At 59.7% G+C, this 15,380-nt stretch overlaps 1 protein-coding gene across 4 annotated transcripts, besides 1 other annotated feature; it reads left to right on the top strand.

Annotated features, from left to right (window-relative positions):
• Window positions 2,394-3,306: an enhancer, noted in NCBI's record as "H3K4me1 hESC enhancer chr19:2723575-2724487 (GRCh37/hg19 assembly coordinates)". NCBI's record gives its function as "activates a minimal SCP1, AML or CMV promoter by ChIP-STARR-seq in naive H9 embryonic stem cells {active_cell/tissue: H9 hESC(naive)}" and the evidence as "EXISTENCE:reporter gene assay evidence [ECO:0000049][PMID:30033119]".
• Window positions 5,511-12,316, top strand: DIRAS1 (DIRAS family GTPase 1). 4 transcript variants are annotated; one of them, XM_047438276.1, is made up of 3 exons: window positions 5,511-5,579; window positions 7,732-8,604; window positions 9,008-12,316. In XM_047438276.1, exons 2-3 carry the CDS (start codon window positions 8,572-8,574, stop codon window positions 9,671-9,673), a joined length of 699 nt encoding a protein of 232 aa, XP_047294232.1. In that variant the 5' UTR covers window positions 5,511-5,579; window positions 7,732-8,571; the 3' UTR covers window positions 9,674-12,316. The 4 variants fall into 4 exon arrangements, with proteins under 4 accessions (XP_047294232.1, XP_047294230.1, XP_047294231.1 ...); XM_047438274.1 differs by having other exon boundaries at window positions 7,701-8,604; XM_047438275.1 differs by having other exon boundaries at window positions 7,406-8,604.
• The last annotated feature ends 3,064 nt before the right edge of the window (window positions 12,317-15,380 follow it).

The raw sequence follows: 15,380 nt of genomic DNA, 5'->3' as shown, positions 1-15,380 counted from the left end.
GGTGAGGCCTGAGAACTTGCATGCCACCGAGTTCCCAGGCAACGCTGGCCATGCTGGGGTGGGCAAAGTTTGAGACCCATGGACCCCTCCAGGGTCTCTCCCTGTGGGCACTGTGGACACTGGGGCCAGATAGTTCTCTGGGGCGGGGCTGTCCTGGGCACTGCAGGGTGCTGAGCAGTATCCCTGGCCTCCACCCACTCCATGCCAGGTGCACCCACAGCTGTGAGAACCACAGACGTTCCCATCTAGTGCCCAGTCTCCCCTTGGGACACAATCACCCCCCCCCCCCCCCCCGTGGGAACTGCTGCCCCAGAACTAAGGCGGCTCACATTCTGGAGAGGGAGCCGACGCCAGCATGTTAGGCGGTACCAGGTAGCAATAAAGGCCCTGAAAAGAATCAGGACACGGTGAGAGACAGCAAAAGGAGATGATTTTAGTTCTGTGGTCTCCTCAGGAGCAGTCTCTGGGGTGACGTGAGGGGGACTGGAGGAAGTGAGTGAGAAGGAGATGGGGGAGAGAGAGCTCATCTGGCTGAGGCAGCAGCATGTGCAAAGGCCCTGGGGCCTCTGTAGTTCTCAGCCTTTTTTCTCTGATGATCAGAGTGGCTTCTTCTCTCTAAGAAGACCCAGGCGTTACCGGAGTTTATCCTGCCAATGCTAAAGATTCAGTAACCCCACTCCTTAGAGGTGGTGATGAAACAGCACCCTGGCCAGGCGCGGTGGCTCACGCCTGTCATCCCAGCTCTTTGGGAGGCCGAGGCGGACGGATCACCTGAGGTCAGGAGTTCCAGACCAGCCTGGGCAACATGGTGAAACTCCATCTCTACTAAAAGTATAAAAATTAGCCGGGTGTGGCGGTGGGCGCCTGTAATCCCAGCTACTTGGGAGGCTGAGGCAGGGGAGTTGCTTGAACCCGGGAGGTGGAGGTTGCAGTGAGCCAAGATCACACCACTGCACTCCAGTCTGGGTGACAGAGCGAGACTCTGTCTAAAAACAAACACAAAAAATCATAGCCCCCTGATGTTAGAGAGGAACCCAATGCTGACTCTAGGGGCCAGGCAGCGTGAGGCGTGGGTCTTCCATGGTGGCCTGGGGGCTGGGGGAGCAGCGGCGAGCAGCTCTGCAGATGCCAAAGGGCAAAAACAAACAAACAAACGAAAAAGAAATGGGCTTGGGGATGTCAGCCTGTTCATCTTTGAAGGCAAACTGGTTTTTGACAAATGGTCTCTGTATTTTAAAATATTGATGCCACCAGCCTGGGCAGTATAGTAAGACCTTATCTCTACAGAATTTTTTTTTTCTTTTGGGACAGAGTCTTGCTCTGTCGCCCAGGCTGGAGTACAATAGCACGATCTCGGCTCACTGTGACCTGTGCCTCCTGGGTTCAAGCGATTCTCCTGCCTGGGCCTCCTGAGTAGCTGGGTTTACAGGCGCCTGCCACCACTCCTGGCTAATTTTTGTATTTTTAGTAGAGACGGGGTTTCACCATATTGGTTAGGCTGGTCTCAAACTCCTGACCTCATGATCTGCCCACCTCAGCCTCCCAAAGTGCTGGGATTACAGGCGTAAGCCACTGCGCCCAGCCCAGAATTTTTTTTTTTTTTTTTTTTTTTTTTTTTTGAGACGGAGTCTCGCTCTGTCGCCCAGGCCGGACTGCGGACTGCAGTGGCGCAATCTCGGCTCACTGCAAGCTCCGCTTCCCGGGTTCACGCCATTCTCCTGCCTCAGCCTCCCGAGTAGCTGGGACTACAGGCGCCCGCCACCGCGCCCGGCTAATTTTTTGTATTTTTAGTAGAGACGGGGTTTCACCTTGTTAGCCAGGATGGTCTCGAGAATTTTTTTTTTTTTTAAGTCAGAGTCTTGCTCTGTTGCCCAGGCTGGAGTACAGTGGTGTGATCTCAGCTCACTGCAACCTCCGCCTCCCAAGTTCAAGTGATTATCCTGCCTCAGCCTCCCAAGTAGCTGGGATTACAGGTGCATGTCACCACATTGGGCTCATTTTTTATAATTTTAGTAGAGACGGGGTTTTACCATGTTGGCCAGGCTGGTCTTGAACTCCTGACCTCGTGTGATCCACCCACCTCAGCCTCCCAAAGTGCAGGGATTACAGGCATGAGCCATCGTGCCCGGCCGAGAAAAATTTTTTAAAATTAGCCGGGCCTGGTGGTGTGTGCCTGTAGTCCCAGCTACTCAGGCGGCTGAGGAGGAAGGATTGCTCGAGCCCAGAAAGTCAAGGCTGCAGTGATCTGCGACCTCACCACGCACTCCAGCTTAGGTGGCGGAGTGAGACCCTGTCTCGATAGATAGATAGATAAGTAGATGATTAATAGATAATAGATGAACAGGTGACAGATGATTGATAGATAATAGGTAAATGATTAATAAATGATGATTGATAGATTAATTGATAGATGACAGATAGATGATTGATAGATGATAGATAGATAGGTGGTAGATTGATTGACTGATTGATTGACAGATGCTAAACTTGAAAAGCAACTGTGTGGCTGAGCCCCTGGGGTGACTCTGCCCCCTGAGGCCAGGATGTGCAACCTCGGCTTTGCCCACATGGTCCAGAGACCACTGAAGAGAGCTGAGGCCGGACCCCACTGCCCTCCTCTCCAAAGGCTAGCCGGGGCTCAGTGAGGCCCACGTGGCCCTGGTCAGGGCAGCAGGGTGAGGAGAGCGGTCGTGGAGCTGCAGGGCCGGGGGAGGAGCTGGACATTGCAGATGAACGCCGTCCCTTGCTGTTCTGCTGAAAGGAGATCTGTAAGGCAGGACCGGCCGAGTGTCCCCAGGACAAGACTGCAGATAGCCAGGGACAGGGCAAGAGGATCACAAGGGGGTGGCCGTCTATCCCCAGCAGGCTGGGCTATGGCTTCAGAGCCTGATGGATCCGGACCGACCTCTTTCCCACTAGGCCACCGTGGGCGAGCCGCTTCCCTTCTCTGAGCAGCAGTTTCCAGATGGGAGCAGGGACAGTGGCCTTGTACAGACTGCTGAGGGCCCAGCACCCACTACACTGGCACTTTGTGTTTGCAGGACCCATGCAGACTGCCCCGGTGGGTTTCACCCTGGGGACTCAACGTGGACGCCTGTGGATCCTGCCCAGCTCGCGAGCTGGAGAGGTTGACAGGTCCTCTTCTCTTTGGCAAAGATGCAGCCGGCCTCAGTCCTCCTCGCCCACCTCTGTGCCTCTCAGGATGCCGAGGGACTCTCCAAAGAGGGACTCGGGTATGAGAGGCAGCAGGGAACCCAGGAAACTCCAGTGCCAGCCCCGGCTTGCTCAGTGCCCCAGTGTGCAAGTGCCCTGGCCCCTGAGATTTGGATCACGGACCTTTCCATGGAGAGGCAGAGCTGGGGCGCCCACCCACCCCCACTCACAAAGGCCAGGCGGAACCCTCTGCTCCCCGGCCCACCATGGGGGAGAAGCTCCTGCTGTCCTAGTTTGGGTGCTCGGAAGAGCTCACTGCCATCTGTGGCCTGGGCACCGCGGGCCATGTGTGGAGACCCCGTTCCTCAGGGACAGCGAGGAGGGGAACAGGGCCTGGCCTCGCCGGCTCACGCGGCCCACAGCCTGGCCTGGGAGCTATAAATAGCAGCCGCAGCGTGGAGTTACCGCCCTGCCCACTCTCCTACGCATGAGTCAGCCTGCCCCGGCCTGAGCTGGTGCCCGGAGGAGACAGGGAGCCGGCCCGACGCCCTGCCCCACGCTGGTGGGTCACTCAGGAGACGAAGGCAGGCAGGCGGACTGGGAAGGGGCAGGGCTGCCGTCTGAGTGCTTGGGTGCCCAGCAGCCCCGTGTAGGTGGGCGCCCTGCCCATGTGTTCCCAGCAACCCTACAGGCGGGCAACAGTGACGTCACTCACAGATGGGGGAACCGATGCTTGAGAAGGCACTTCCCTGCAGGCAGCCATGTAGAGCAGAAGCTGGGATTTGTCTGCCCTCAGGGCTGTCTCCATCTCCTGCTGAGGGCACCCCCAGATGAGGGTCAGGGGCCGGGCCATGCTCTGAGGTGCTCCCGCAGGGCTGGGGTCAGGGTGGGAGGGAGGTGCACGCCAGGAGCACTCAGGCCGGGCCATGGATGCCAGGCTGAGAAGCTGGACCTTGGCCTGGGAGAAGGGAGCCATGGGTGGCGTTAGAGCAGGGGAGGCCCATGTTGCAGTTGGAGCATTGAGTGGCAGAGTGGAAGGAGGGCTGGAGGAAGGGGTCTGGAGGCCAGGAGGGGGAGTGGGGTCAAATCAGGGAGAAATAGAGCTCCTTGAGCCCCAAAGCCGCTTGAACCTCAGTGCCCCAGCCTCAGTGGCAACAGGAGAGGGGACTGAGTGGTCTTGGAGGCAGTGCCAAGTCTCCGCAGAGGCAGATGGGCCCACCTCATCCAGGGCCATGGAAATGGTGGGTCATGGAGAACCCCAGGAGCTGAGGGCCCAAGGGGTTCACCTGCTCACAGGCCTGGTGATGGGGAGCTCACCACCTTCCAGACCAGCCTCTCACCCACTGATGGCTCTGACTCTGGAGAGACCCCTGTGGGTCCCAGAGTTGGCCTCTCCACCAAGGGGCGCCTTCCTCTGACAGCCTTGCGGCCTGGGACTGTCCCGCACCCACCCCTGAGAGCACCTTCTGGCCTGGTCACTAGACCCCAAAGTCCAGTCTCCTCTGGGATCTGCCCGATGAGGCCAAAAGGAACCTCGGCCTCCCGGTCTCCAAAATGGAGGCGGAACCATGGTCTCTTGTGGACACACAGACGCATCAGAAAAGCCAGTGCTCCCCTAAGACACCTCCTGTTGGGGGAACACAAACATTTTCCTAACCGAAAACGGCAAACCCATCCGCTGCAGAGCAGCGCCAGCCCCCTTTGCTCACCCCCCACCTCCCTAGGCCTGACTGCCATGGGCTGCCTCCGCCTCCACAAAACCAGCCCTACAGAGCGCTGAGTCCGCTTCTGCCCCCATCCCGCCCCTGCCCAGGCCCCTGGGATGGGTGGGCCTCCAGGTGCACCCCATTGACCTGAACCCTCCCGCCTCTGCCCGCTTCTAAACCTGTTCATTGATTGTTGATTATCGACTTACTCATTTCACAACGCACCCCTCTGATTCCCCGCCCTGCGTGTGACCGGGCCCCAGCCGGCCTCAGGGGTCCCGTTCTGCACCCCCTTTATCCGCATTTCTGCCAAAGCCCTCCACCCCCGGCTGGACTCTGCTCCTCCCAAGCCGGGCTCCTGGCCCCCACTCGGGGTTCCCCGGGAAGCGGCCCCAGCTCCCACCCCGAGGGAGGGCGCGCGCAGGTGGCTACGTGGCAGGGCGGGGGTCCCGGATCCTGGCGACCTCTCCCACCCCGGGCGCGGGCAGGGGTCCCGCGTGGGGCGGCGGTGACCTTGGCCGGGCGGCGCGCCGGCCCCGTGGGCGCGGGTCCCCGGGGCGGGGCGGGGCGGGGCGGGGCGGGGCGGAGCGCGGGGCCCGGCGGGCGGGGACGGCGCGGGCGCGACTGCGGCGGCTCGGGCGGGCGGGGGGCGGCGGCGCCAGCGGACACCGGAGCGGGCAGGAGCAGCGGCCGCGGCGCCGCAGGGACCAGCGGGCCCAGGTAGGCGGCCCGGGGCGGGGAGGGGGTCCCTGCGCAGCCCCCAGCCGGCCGTCCTCCCCGCCGCGCGTCCCTCCTTTGTCCCGGCCCCAGCCTCCCGGGCCTTGGGGCCGGGCCCTTCCCCGCGTGGCTCCGGGGCCCCTCGCCGGGCGTCCCCCGTCCCTTCCCGCCGGGCCCGGCCGGCCCCTCCGCGCTCACCTTGGACAGCTCCCGGCCGCCTCCCCTCCCCCACCCGGAGGGCGCCCCCCTGCCGAGCCCGCCCCACCGAGGCCCACCCCGCCGCCCCTCTCCGCATTGGTCCCCTCGGGCAGGGCCTCCTCCCTCCTGCAGCCGCCTTCTTCGCCCTCCGCCCCGCTGCCCAGCCAAGCCCCTCCCTCCGCGCCCCCTCCCCGGGGTGGGCTCCTCCTCTCCACCACTGAGGTCCTCCTGAGTCAAGGGTCGCCCCTGGGCTGGCCCCGCACTGTGCCTCTGCGCCCTCGGGCCCCCTAGAGCAGGCCCTTTCTCCATCAAACCCCTCACCGGCCAGGCGGCCCTGGGTCAGACCCCCGCCCCACCCTTGGTCAGGCGTGACCCCCGCTAGACCCCTGGGTCGCGGCTCTCTCTGCTTTCCTGACCCTGAGCTTTGCTTTGACACCCCCGCCCCCACCAACCACGCCGTGCCCGGCCGGGAGCCGGGCTTCAGGGACCCAGGGCTGGGGTAGATTGGCCCTGCCTGGACGTCTGGGGGTGGGCTGCCCCGCACAGGCGGGAAACCCCAGGAGTCTAGCCAAGCAGGGTGGGCTTCCAGCCCCGCTGTGCGCCTCCACCCCCCTGCTCTGTGACCTTGAGCCAGCCCCTCCTGCTCCTGCCTCGGTGCCCACGACCCCCTCCCTCCACCCGCACCCCCCAGGCGGTGGAGGTGGGAAGTGGCGTGGGCTTCGGGGCTGTTGAGTGCAAGCGCCTTTCTGGTCAGGGATTCCAGACCCAGCGGGGAGGACAGTACTGCTCATGGGGGCTGGAGCTTCAGTGCCCGCAGCAAGGCAAAGGCTGGATCTGGGTCCACAGAACCCATGGCCATTAGGACCCCAGGCCGGTCTTGGTGGCGTCTTTCTGCACAGCAGCGTGCCCGCCTCTCAGGGCGCCCACCCAGGAAAGGGCAGGGTCTGCAGCACAGGCCGCCTCCCCCCCACCACCAGCACCCCCAGCCTCCTCCGAATGCCGAGAAATTACTATGCATGTAGTCCACAAACCCGGCAGCCAATCACATGAGTTGGCATTGCCGAGGCGCCCAGAAGTTTGCCTGGCTCATCACAACTGGGGACTGTGTCAGCTGGCGCTTTCATCAGCCTCTTTTCTTTTCCTGGCAAATCTGTTACCCTTGATAATCCAGAAGGTGCCTTTGCAACCAACAGGCACAGCCAAGTGCCCTGCCCACCGGCCCCAAGCCCTTGTGACTGTGATCACAATTGTGATCGGGGTCTCCGCTGTACAGGGCACTGCCTAGGGCCTTTCTCCACCTTGTCACCTTACTTGCCCCAACAGTGGCTCGCATTTCACAGAAGAGAAAACGGAGGCTTAGGGACTTGAATTTGCCTGTTTAGGTTCAAACCACTGACCCCCGGGGAACCTCTGGACCCTCCCCATAAACACACCCCCACCCCCAGTGCAGCAGGTAGAAACTGGTTCCTCCTCCTCTCCCACTGTAGACCACCTTGCTGGGGAACACCCCTCCCCCACCCCCCACCGCTGCCCCAGAGCCTGGAAGGAGGAAGGGGAGGGGAGGACATCAATTCTGGAGATAAGCCACCCGCCCTCCCCCCAGCGTTCTTCCCCCACCTCCATCATTTCAGGATCTGCTGTGCTGTGTGACCTCCTCAGGCTGCTGGACCTCTCTGAGCCCAAGAAGGAAGAGAGGGGCTAAGAGGTGCCCCTCCCAGGAAGTGCTATTCTAAGGATCCTTCAGACCTGAACGGGAGGGGCTAGGGCACACCAGGCCATAGTTTGATTTTAGAGTTTAGGGAGTGGCGATTTTCCCGTTCAGCTTCTGGATTTTGTATTTTTGTGTCCCACCTGGGCTGCAAGACCCTTCCTCCCTGGGGCGGCTATTGGGAATCAGTGCCCTGATTTGCAAATTGTGGTTCTCAGATTCCCAGCCTCAGGATCCCATTTATGGCAGGTGAGGAGAGCAGCCCTGTAATACAAGTTCCAGCTGGATGCGGTGTCTCACACCTGGAATCCCAGCACTTTGGGAGCCCGAGGCGAGAGGAGCACCTGAGGTCAGGAGTTCAAGACCAGCCTGGCCAACATGGCGAAACCCCGTCTCTACTGAAAATACAAAAATTAGCCGGGTGTGGTGGTGCATGCCTGTAATCCCAGCTACTCTGGAGGCTGAGGCAGGAGAATTGCTTGAACCGAGGAGGCAGAGGTTGCAGTGAGCCGAGATTGCACCACTGAACTCCAACCTGGGCAACAGAGCAAGACTTGGTTTTAAAAAAAATAAGAAGGCCAGGTGCAGTGGCTCACGCCTGTAACCCCAGCACTTTGGGAGGCCGAGGTGGGTGGATCACCTGAGGTCAGGAGTTCAAGACCTGCCTGACCAACATGGAGAAACCCTGCCTCTACTAAAAATATAAAATTAGCCGGGCTTTGTGGTGCATGCCTGTAATCCTAGCTACTTGGGAGGCTGAGGCAAGAGAATAGCTTGAACCCGGGAGGTGGAGGTTGCGGCGAGCCAAGATTGTGCCATTGCACTCCAGCCTGGGCAGCAAGAGCGAAACTCTGTCTAAAAATAAATAAATAAATAAGAAGAATAAAATAAAATACGAGTTCCCAGGGCCGTTGCCCTGGCCGACCGATTCATCACACCTAGGGCTGCGGCCCTGACATATGCATCTTAAACACCCGACCATGTGCGGCTTCCATGAGGATTGGCCATCTCTGGGTTGGCGGAAGAGCAGGGGACCCATGGTTGTTGGAGACGGGCACCGTTTGAGCCACCAAACAGGCTCAGGGTGGCATGATGGCTCGGCAAGGTCTCAGAGCCAGGCAGGTGTGGAGCGAGAGGTGGAAGCCAGGCCTGCTAGCTTCCAGGGGCCCCTGCCACACTGGGAAGAGAGGGGGAAGCTGGCACAGCCTGGAAGGGACACCCACACCCGGGGAAGGAGTTTCGTGGGCATCCCGGCGTCTCCCACGCCTCTCCTAGCTCAGCGTCCCCCGGGGAAGCTCAGGCCCCAGATTTTGTTAGGGAGAAGTAAGCAAAGGGTGTTGGCTGTGCGCCCGCCTGTGGGACAGAACTGCAAAGTCAGCCACAAGCAAATGGGCCTTTTCAGGAGGCAGGAGGCACGGCAGCCACCTCCTCTGAGAAGCCGCCATGTCCTCCTCCCTCCCCGGGGCGTGGGGCTGTCCCCTCAAGCCTGGGTGGCCTTTGACGTGTGACCCTCCTCTCTGCACAGGCTCGGTCTGGGGTTCTTGCAGCTGGCACCAGCCCTCCCGGCCCCGGCCGCCCACCCGCCGCGGGGAAGATGCCGGAACAGAGTAACGATTACCGCGTGGTGGTGTTCGGGGCGGGCGGCGTGGGCAAGAGCTCGCTGGTGCTGCGCTTCGTGAAGGGCACGTTCCGCGACACCTACATCCCCACCATCGAGGACACCTACCGGCAGGTGATCAGCTGCGACAAGAGCGTGTGCACGCTGCAGATCACAGACACCACCGGCAGCCACCAGTTCCCGGCCATGCAGCGCCTGTCCATCTCCAAGGGCCACGCCTTCATCCTGGTGTTCTCCGTCACCAGCAAGCAGTCGCTGGAGGAGCTGGGGCCCATCTACAAGCTCATCGTGCAGATCAAGGGCAGCGTGGAGGACATCCCCGTGATGCTCGTGGGCAACAAGTGCGATGAGACGCAGCGGGAGGTGGACACGCGCGAGGCGCAGGCGGTGGCCCAGGAGTGGAAGTGCGCTTTCATGGAGACCTCGGCCAAGATGAACTACAACGTCAAGGAGCTCTTCCAGGAGCTGCTGACGCTGGAGACGCGCCGGAACATGAGCCTCAACATCGACGGCAAGCGCTCCGGGAAGCAGAAGAGGACAGACCGCGTCAAGGGCAAATGCACCCTCATGTGAGCCCGGAACGCCCGCCTGCCCGCCGCCCACCCCCACTGACCCCCGCTGCCTCCCCCAACACCGACACCCTCCTCGGCCTCCTCCTCTTCTCTCATCCTTCCTCCGACACCTCGGCTGGGGAAACCGAGGCCACCGCCCCCCCCTCCGCTGCCCCTGCCCACCCCGAGGCAGGGCTGGGGCTTTTCTTCCTCCCCTGCTCTCTCTCCACCCTCCTGTTCTGTCTGTACCCTCCAAAACCAAGAGCCGGAGGTGGCCCCCTTGTCCTGCAGATGGGAAAACAGGATGGGGAGCTGGCAAGAGGAGCTGCTTGTTCCCACCAGGACCAGAGGAGGCTGCGTTTCCCCGTTTCCATCTCTTTCCCTGGGGTGTCCCCAGCCAGACCTGCGCGTCCTGTCCCTCACATTTGATCACTGTGACCTTCTGGGGGAGGGGGGAGTTGAAAATGCACATCGGCCTCAGATATTTTTTTCTTTTTTCTCCTATTTGGTGTTAACATACACCCAAGCCCACCCGGCCCGTCGTGACCTCTGATCTGTGCCCACTCCTCCGGTTCCAGACGCACCTCTCTCCTCTGTCTTCACAGTGGGGTGTGGGGCCCGTGGGATGGGCCTCAGGCCACCAGGCAATAACCACAGGGCCTGCAGCAGTGCCCCTGCCAGCCCCGAATCCCACCCCCGGGACCAGCCACATCCACAGCACAACTGCCCCGCTGGAGAGGCACCATGGGCGTGGAGGGGCTTCCCGGACACCGCCCACCCGGGACCCGCCTCTTCCACCAAGACAGAGACGTTAGCAACGCATGGCGGGTGGGGACCTGGGGTGCTCAGGAGGGGGTACCCGGGGCCCCGGCCAGAGATACATCAATTACACCCCCGTGGGGGGACAGCCGATGGGAGCCAGCACCAGCAGGATCCGAGGGCGCCCCGGACAGAGGTCTGCCCCACCCACTTCCTCCCCACCACCTGTGCCCCAGAGAGCAGGGCCTGCCCGGGAAGGTGGCGTCCTGGAGTCGAGTGTACCTGCAGCCATGAGGTTCTGGGTGTTTTTTGAGAGAGTCTGAGTGACACCACACTCGTGTGACCCCACAGGGTTGTGTCCAACATACACGGAAGTGGCTATGGAATGGTGTATTTGTGCAACCTGGGGTGCGCGGATGGGTGACTTGTATCTAAGTGCATCTGCGTGTATACCTGTGTGTGTCTGTCTGGGATGATATGTTTTTGTGGCAGTCTGTGTGTGTAATAGTGGTGTAGGGTATACAGAGAGGTGGGTAGTTGTAGATACCTGTGTGTGGTTGTCAGCAAGACTGGATATGTGTGAGGTGTCTGTGTGAATCTTTGTGCCTGTATGAGCATGACTATATTTTGGGGAGTGGGTGATATGGTTTATCTGAGAGCATTTATCTGTAAATATGTTTGTCCTGATTGAGGGACACGATCTGTGTTCCACTCTATAGCAACATGACTCTAGCAATGTGACTTTCGGTTCCAAATCTGTATCAGTCAGCTACTGCTGTGTAACAAATGACCACAAATGTAGCAACCAGAAACAACACATGCTTATTATCTCATAGATTCTGTGGGTCAAGAGCCTGGGTGCAGGTTGGCTGGGTCCTCTACTTGGGATCTCAGGAGGCTGCAATCAAAGCATTCGCCAGGCAGAGGTCTCATCTGAAGGCCTGATCGGGGAAGGATTTGCTTCTTAGAAGCTCATGTGGTTGTTGCAGCATTCAGTTCCTTGCTGTTGCAAGACTGAAGGCCTCAGTTCCTCGCTGGCTGTTGGCTGGAAGCTGCCCTTTGTTCTGTACCATGTGGGTCTCTCCACAGCGGGGCTCGGAGCATGGCAGCTAAGTTAGTGAGGGAAGGTGAGATGGAGGTTTTGGTCTTATTGGGTGTGAGGAAGCAACGTGTGTGTGTGCGCACGCCCTTTTGTGCAGTGAGAGAGAGAGAGAGATTGCACACATGTGTCTCTGTAGTCATGTGGCCAGGTGGGACTATGTAGGTAACAGATTGCTCGTGTCTGATTTGGTACAAGCATGTTTGTTTTCCTCTGTGTTCGTGTGAGTGTTTACTCAACAAATGTTTATTGGACACACTCAGAGAGAGGGAGTGTGCACACGTGCGTGTGTGTTGCTATCCAGCACGTGGACCGGGCTCCCAGAAGAGCTGGCATTGTGTCTGAGCAGAGCTGGGTCCCCCCAAAACTTGGGCTGGCCCAGGGCCCACCAGCAGCTGATGTTGCCTCCTCTCCTGTCCTGGCAGTAGCTTCTGGGTTCTGAAGGTGCCGGAGAGAGTGAGGCTGGGCAGGGGTCTGCGGCCCTTTCTCAGGGACACACCCTGATAGCACAATCTCCTTGGGGCCCTGCCCACCTCCAGGCCTCTCCCACCTCAGGCCCTGCCCGACCCTGGGGAGAGAGGGCATCTGCAATAGGAGGGGACCCGAGCCTGTCCTGGCTGCTGGCCCATCCTGCCTGGGCATCCCTGGTGCTGGGGACTGTGCCAGGCCATGCTTGCTGTGACTCCGCCCCTGCCCCCTCTCCCCCCGCATGTGGGTGCCCCCACTCCCCCATCGTGGGGTCTGTGTAGCCTTCGCTCTAGACATAGTCTTCCTGCAATAAAAAAGTGGATCCTGCATTCCCCACCAGCATGGCGCCCTGTCTCTGTGGTGGGCGTGGGGTGTCAGCTCACCGCCTGTAAAGGATCAAGAAGGGTGGGGAGGTGCAGGATGGGGTGAAGGGTGAAGGAGGTGATGGGTGTAGGAAGTGAGGGATGGGATGAAGGGTGGAGGAGGTGATGGGTGTAGGAAGTGAGGGATGGGATGAAGGGTGGAGGAGGTGATGGGTGTAGGAAGTGAGGGATGGGATGAAGGGTGGAGGAGGTGGTGGGTGGAGGAAGTGAGGGATGGGGTGAAGGGTTGAGAAGGTGGTGGGTGTAGGAAGTGAGGGATGGGATGAAGGGTGGAGGAGGTGACGGGTGTAGGAAGTGAGGGATGGGGTGAAGGGTGGAGGAGGTGGTGGGTGTAGGAAGTGAGGGATGGGATGAAGGGTGGAGGAAGTGGTGGGTGTAGGAAGTGAGGGATGGTGTGAAGGGTGGAGGAGGTGATGGGTGTAGGAAGTGAGGGATGGGGTGAAGGGTGGAGGAGGTGGTGGGTGGAGGAAGTGAGGGATGGGATGAAGGGTGGAGGAGGTGATGGGTGTAGGAAGTGAGGGATGGGATGAAGGGTGGAGGAGGTGGTGGGTGTAGGAAGTGAGGAATGGGATGAAGGGTGGAGGAGGTGGTGGGTGTAGGAAGTGAGGAATGGGATGAAGGGTGGAGGAGGTGACGGGTGTAGGAAGTGAGGGATGGGATGAAGGGTGGAGGAGGTGGTGGGTGTAGGAAGTGAGGGATGGGATGAAGGGTGGAGGAGGTGACGGGTGTAGGAAGTGAGGGATGGGATGAAGGGTGGAGGAGGTGGTGGGTGTAGGAAGTGAGGGATGGGATGAAGGGTGGAGGAGGTGACGGGTGTAGGAAGTGAGGGATGGGATGAAGGGTGGAGGAGGTGGTGGGTGTAGGAAGTGAGGAATGGGATGAAGGGTGGAGGAGGTGACGGGTGTAGGAAGTGAGGGATGGGATGAAGGGTGGAGGAGGTGGTGCGTGGAGGAAGTGAGGGATGGGATGAAGGGTGGAGGAGGTGATGGGTGTAGACAGTGATGGATGGGATGAAGGGTGGAGGAGGTGATGGGTGTAGGAAGTGAGAGATGGCATTAAGGGTGGAGGAGGTGGTGGGTGTAGGAAGTGAGGGATGGGATGAAGGGTGGAGGAGGTGATCGGTGTAGACAGTGACGGATGGGATGAAGGGTGGAGGAGGTGATGGGTGTAGGAAGTGAGGGATGGGATGAAGGGTGGAGGAGGTGGTGGGTGTAGGAAGTGAGGAATGGGATGAAGGGTGGAGGAGGTGGTGGGTGTAGGAAGTGAGGTATGGGGTGAAGGGTGGAGGAGGTGATGGGTGTAGGAAGTGAGGTATGGGGTGAAGGGTGGAGGAGGCGATGGGTGTAGGAAGTGAGGGATGGGATGAAGGATGGAGGAGGTGATGGGTGGAGGAAGTGAGGGATGGGAGGAAGGGTGGAGGAGGTGGTGGGTGTAGAAAGTGAGGGATGGGGTGAAGAGTGGAGGAGGGGACCTGTGTAGGAAGCGAAGGATGGGATGGTGGTGGGGAGGTGGAGGGAGTGGGTTGAGGACATGCAGCAGGGGAGGCAAGGCAGGACCCGTCTGGGACTCTGCTTGGAGATGTCTTTATGTGGCTTTTTTCTAGGGTGTTGGTTTCCAGATTCACTCTGTGCACATTAGCTGGGGACATCCTCCCAGCTGGACTTTCTGTGAACGTGGACAATTTCCTTGCAGGCCCAGTGGCGTTGGGGCAGAGGAGACTGTATTAGTCCATTCTTGGAATGCTATAAAGAAATACCCAGGCCGGGCACGGTGGCTCATGCCTGTAGTCCCAGCACTTTGGGAGGCCGAGAAGGGCATATTACCTGAGACCAGAAGTTTGAGACCAGCCTGGCTCACATGGCAAAACCCTGTCTCTACTAAAAATACAAAAAATTAGCTGGGCGTGGTGGCGGGAGTCTGTAATCCCAACTACTAGGGAGGCTGAGGCAGGAGGATCACTTGAACCCGGGAGGCGGAGCTTGCAGTGAGCTGAGATCGTGCCACTACACTCCAGCCTGGGTGACGAGAATGAAACTCTGTCCAACCCCCCGCCGCCCCACAAAAAGAAAAGAAATACCTGATACAGGTAAATGATAGAGAAAAGAGGTTTAATTGGCTCATAGTTCCACAGCCTGTGCAGGAAGCATGGCAGCAGCTGCTTCTGGGAGGCCTCAGGAAACTTACGGTCATGGGGGAAGGCAGAGGGGAGCAGGCAGGTCACTCGGCCGGAGCAGGAGCACAGGGGAGGAGGTGCCATACCGGATCTTGTGAGAACTCTATTATGAGACAGGACTGAGGGGTGGATCCATTCATGAGGATCCACCGTCATGATCCAGTCGCCTCCCATCAGGCACTACCTCCAACACGGGACTACAATTCAACATGAGATTTGGGTGGGGACAGAGAGCCAAACCATGTCAGGGGACCTTCCCTGCTTGTCCCATCTGCCAGCCCAGCCCCCACCCCTCACCCCTAACCCAGAGCAGGCTGGGGCAGGGATCTGACCTGAAGAGGTAAGGCGTTGTTCAGGACCAGACTGGAAGGAAGGAAGAGCTGAGACATCATTCATTCACGTATTCATTGGTTCATTCATTCATTCATTCATCCAGTATGTAAGAGGCACCACTCTATGCCTGGTCCTGCCCTGATGCTGGGGACACAGCAGTGACAGACACCAGCCCCAGAGCCCCCTGCCTGCTCAGAGAGCATAACCCACTGGGGACGATGATTCCCTATGAAGAAGTGGATCAAATCATCGCAGACACATGCTCCCTACGCAGAAGATAAACCTGCATCACAAAAGTGACGTGGCTGGGAGTCCCAGGCCTTCTGAGGTCTGACTCAGAAGCTGACGTGTTTGCTGATGTGGGAAGCGGGGGAGAGGCCAGCTCCAAGGGGACCTGGGACGGAGCACTGGACAGGGGGACCAGCAAAGGTGTCAAAGCAGGAACAGGTGAGGCCTGGCTGGGAGGAGTGGAGGGAGGAGAGGGAAGGTGGCCAGTGAAGTTGAAGGTCGCCAG

Source organism: Homo sapiens, chromosome 19, assembly GCF_000001405.40.
Source record: "Homo sapiens chromosome 19, GRCh38.p14 Primary Assembly".
Lineage (NCBI taxonomy): Eukaryota > Metazoa > Chordata > Mammalia > Primates > Hominidae > Homo > Homo sapiens.
The sequence above is the reverse complement of the archived record's forward strand: the minus strand, read 5'-3'. Positions and strand labels throughout refer to the sequence as shown.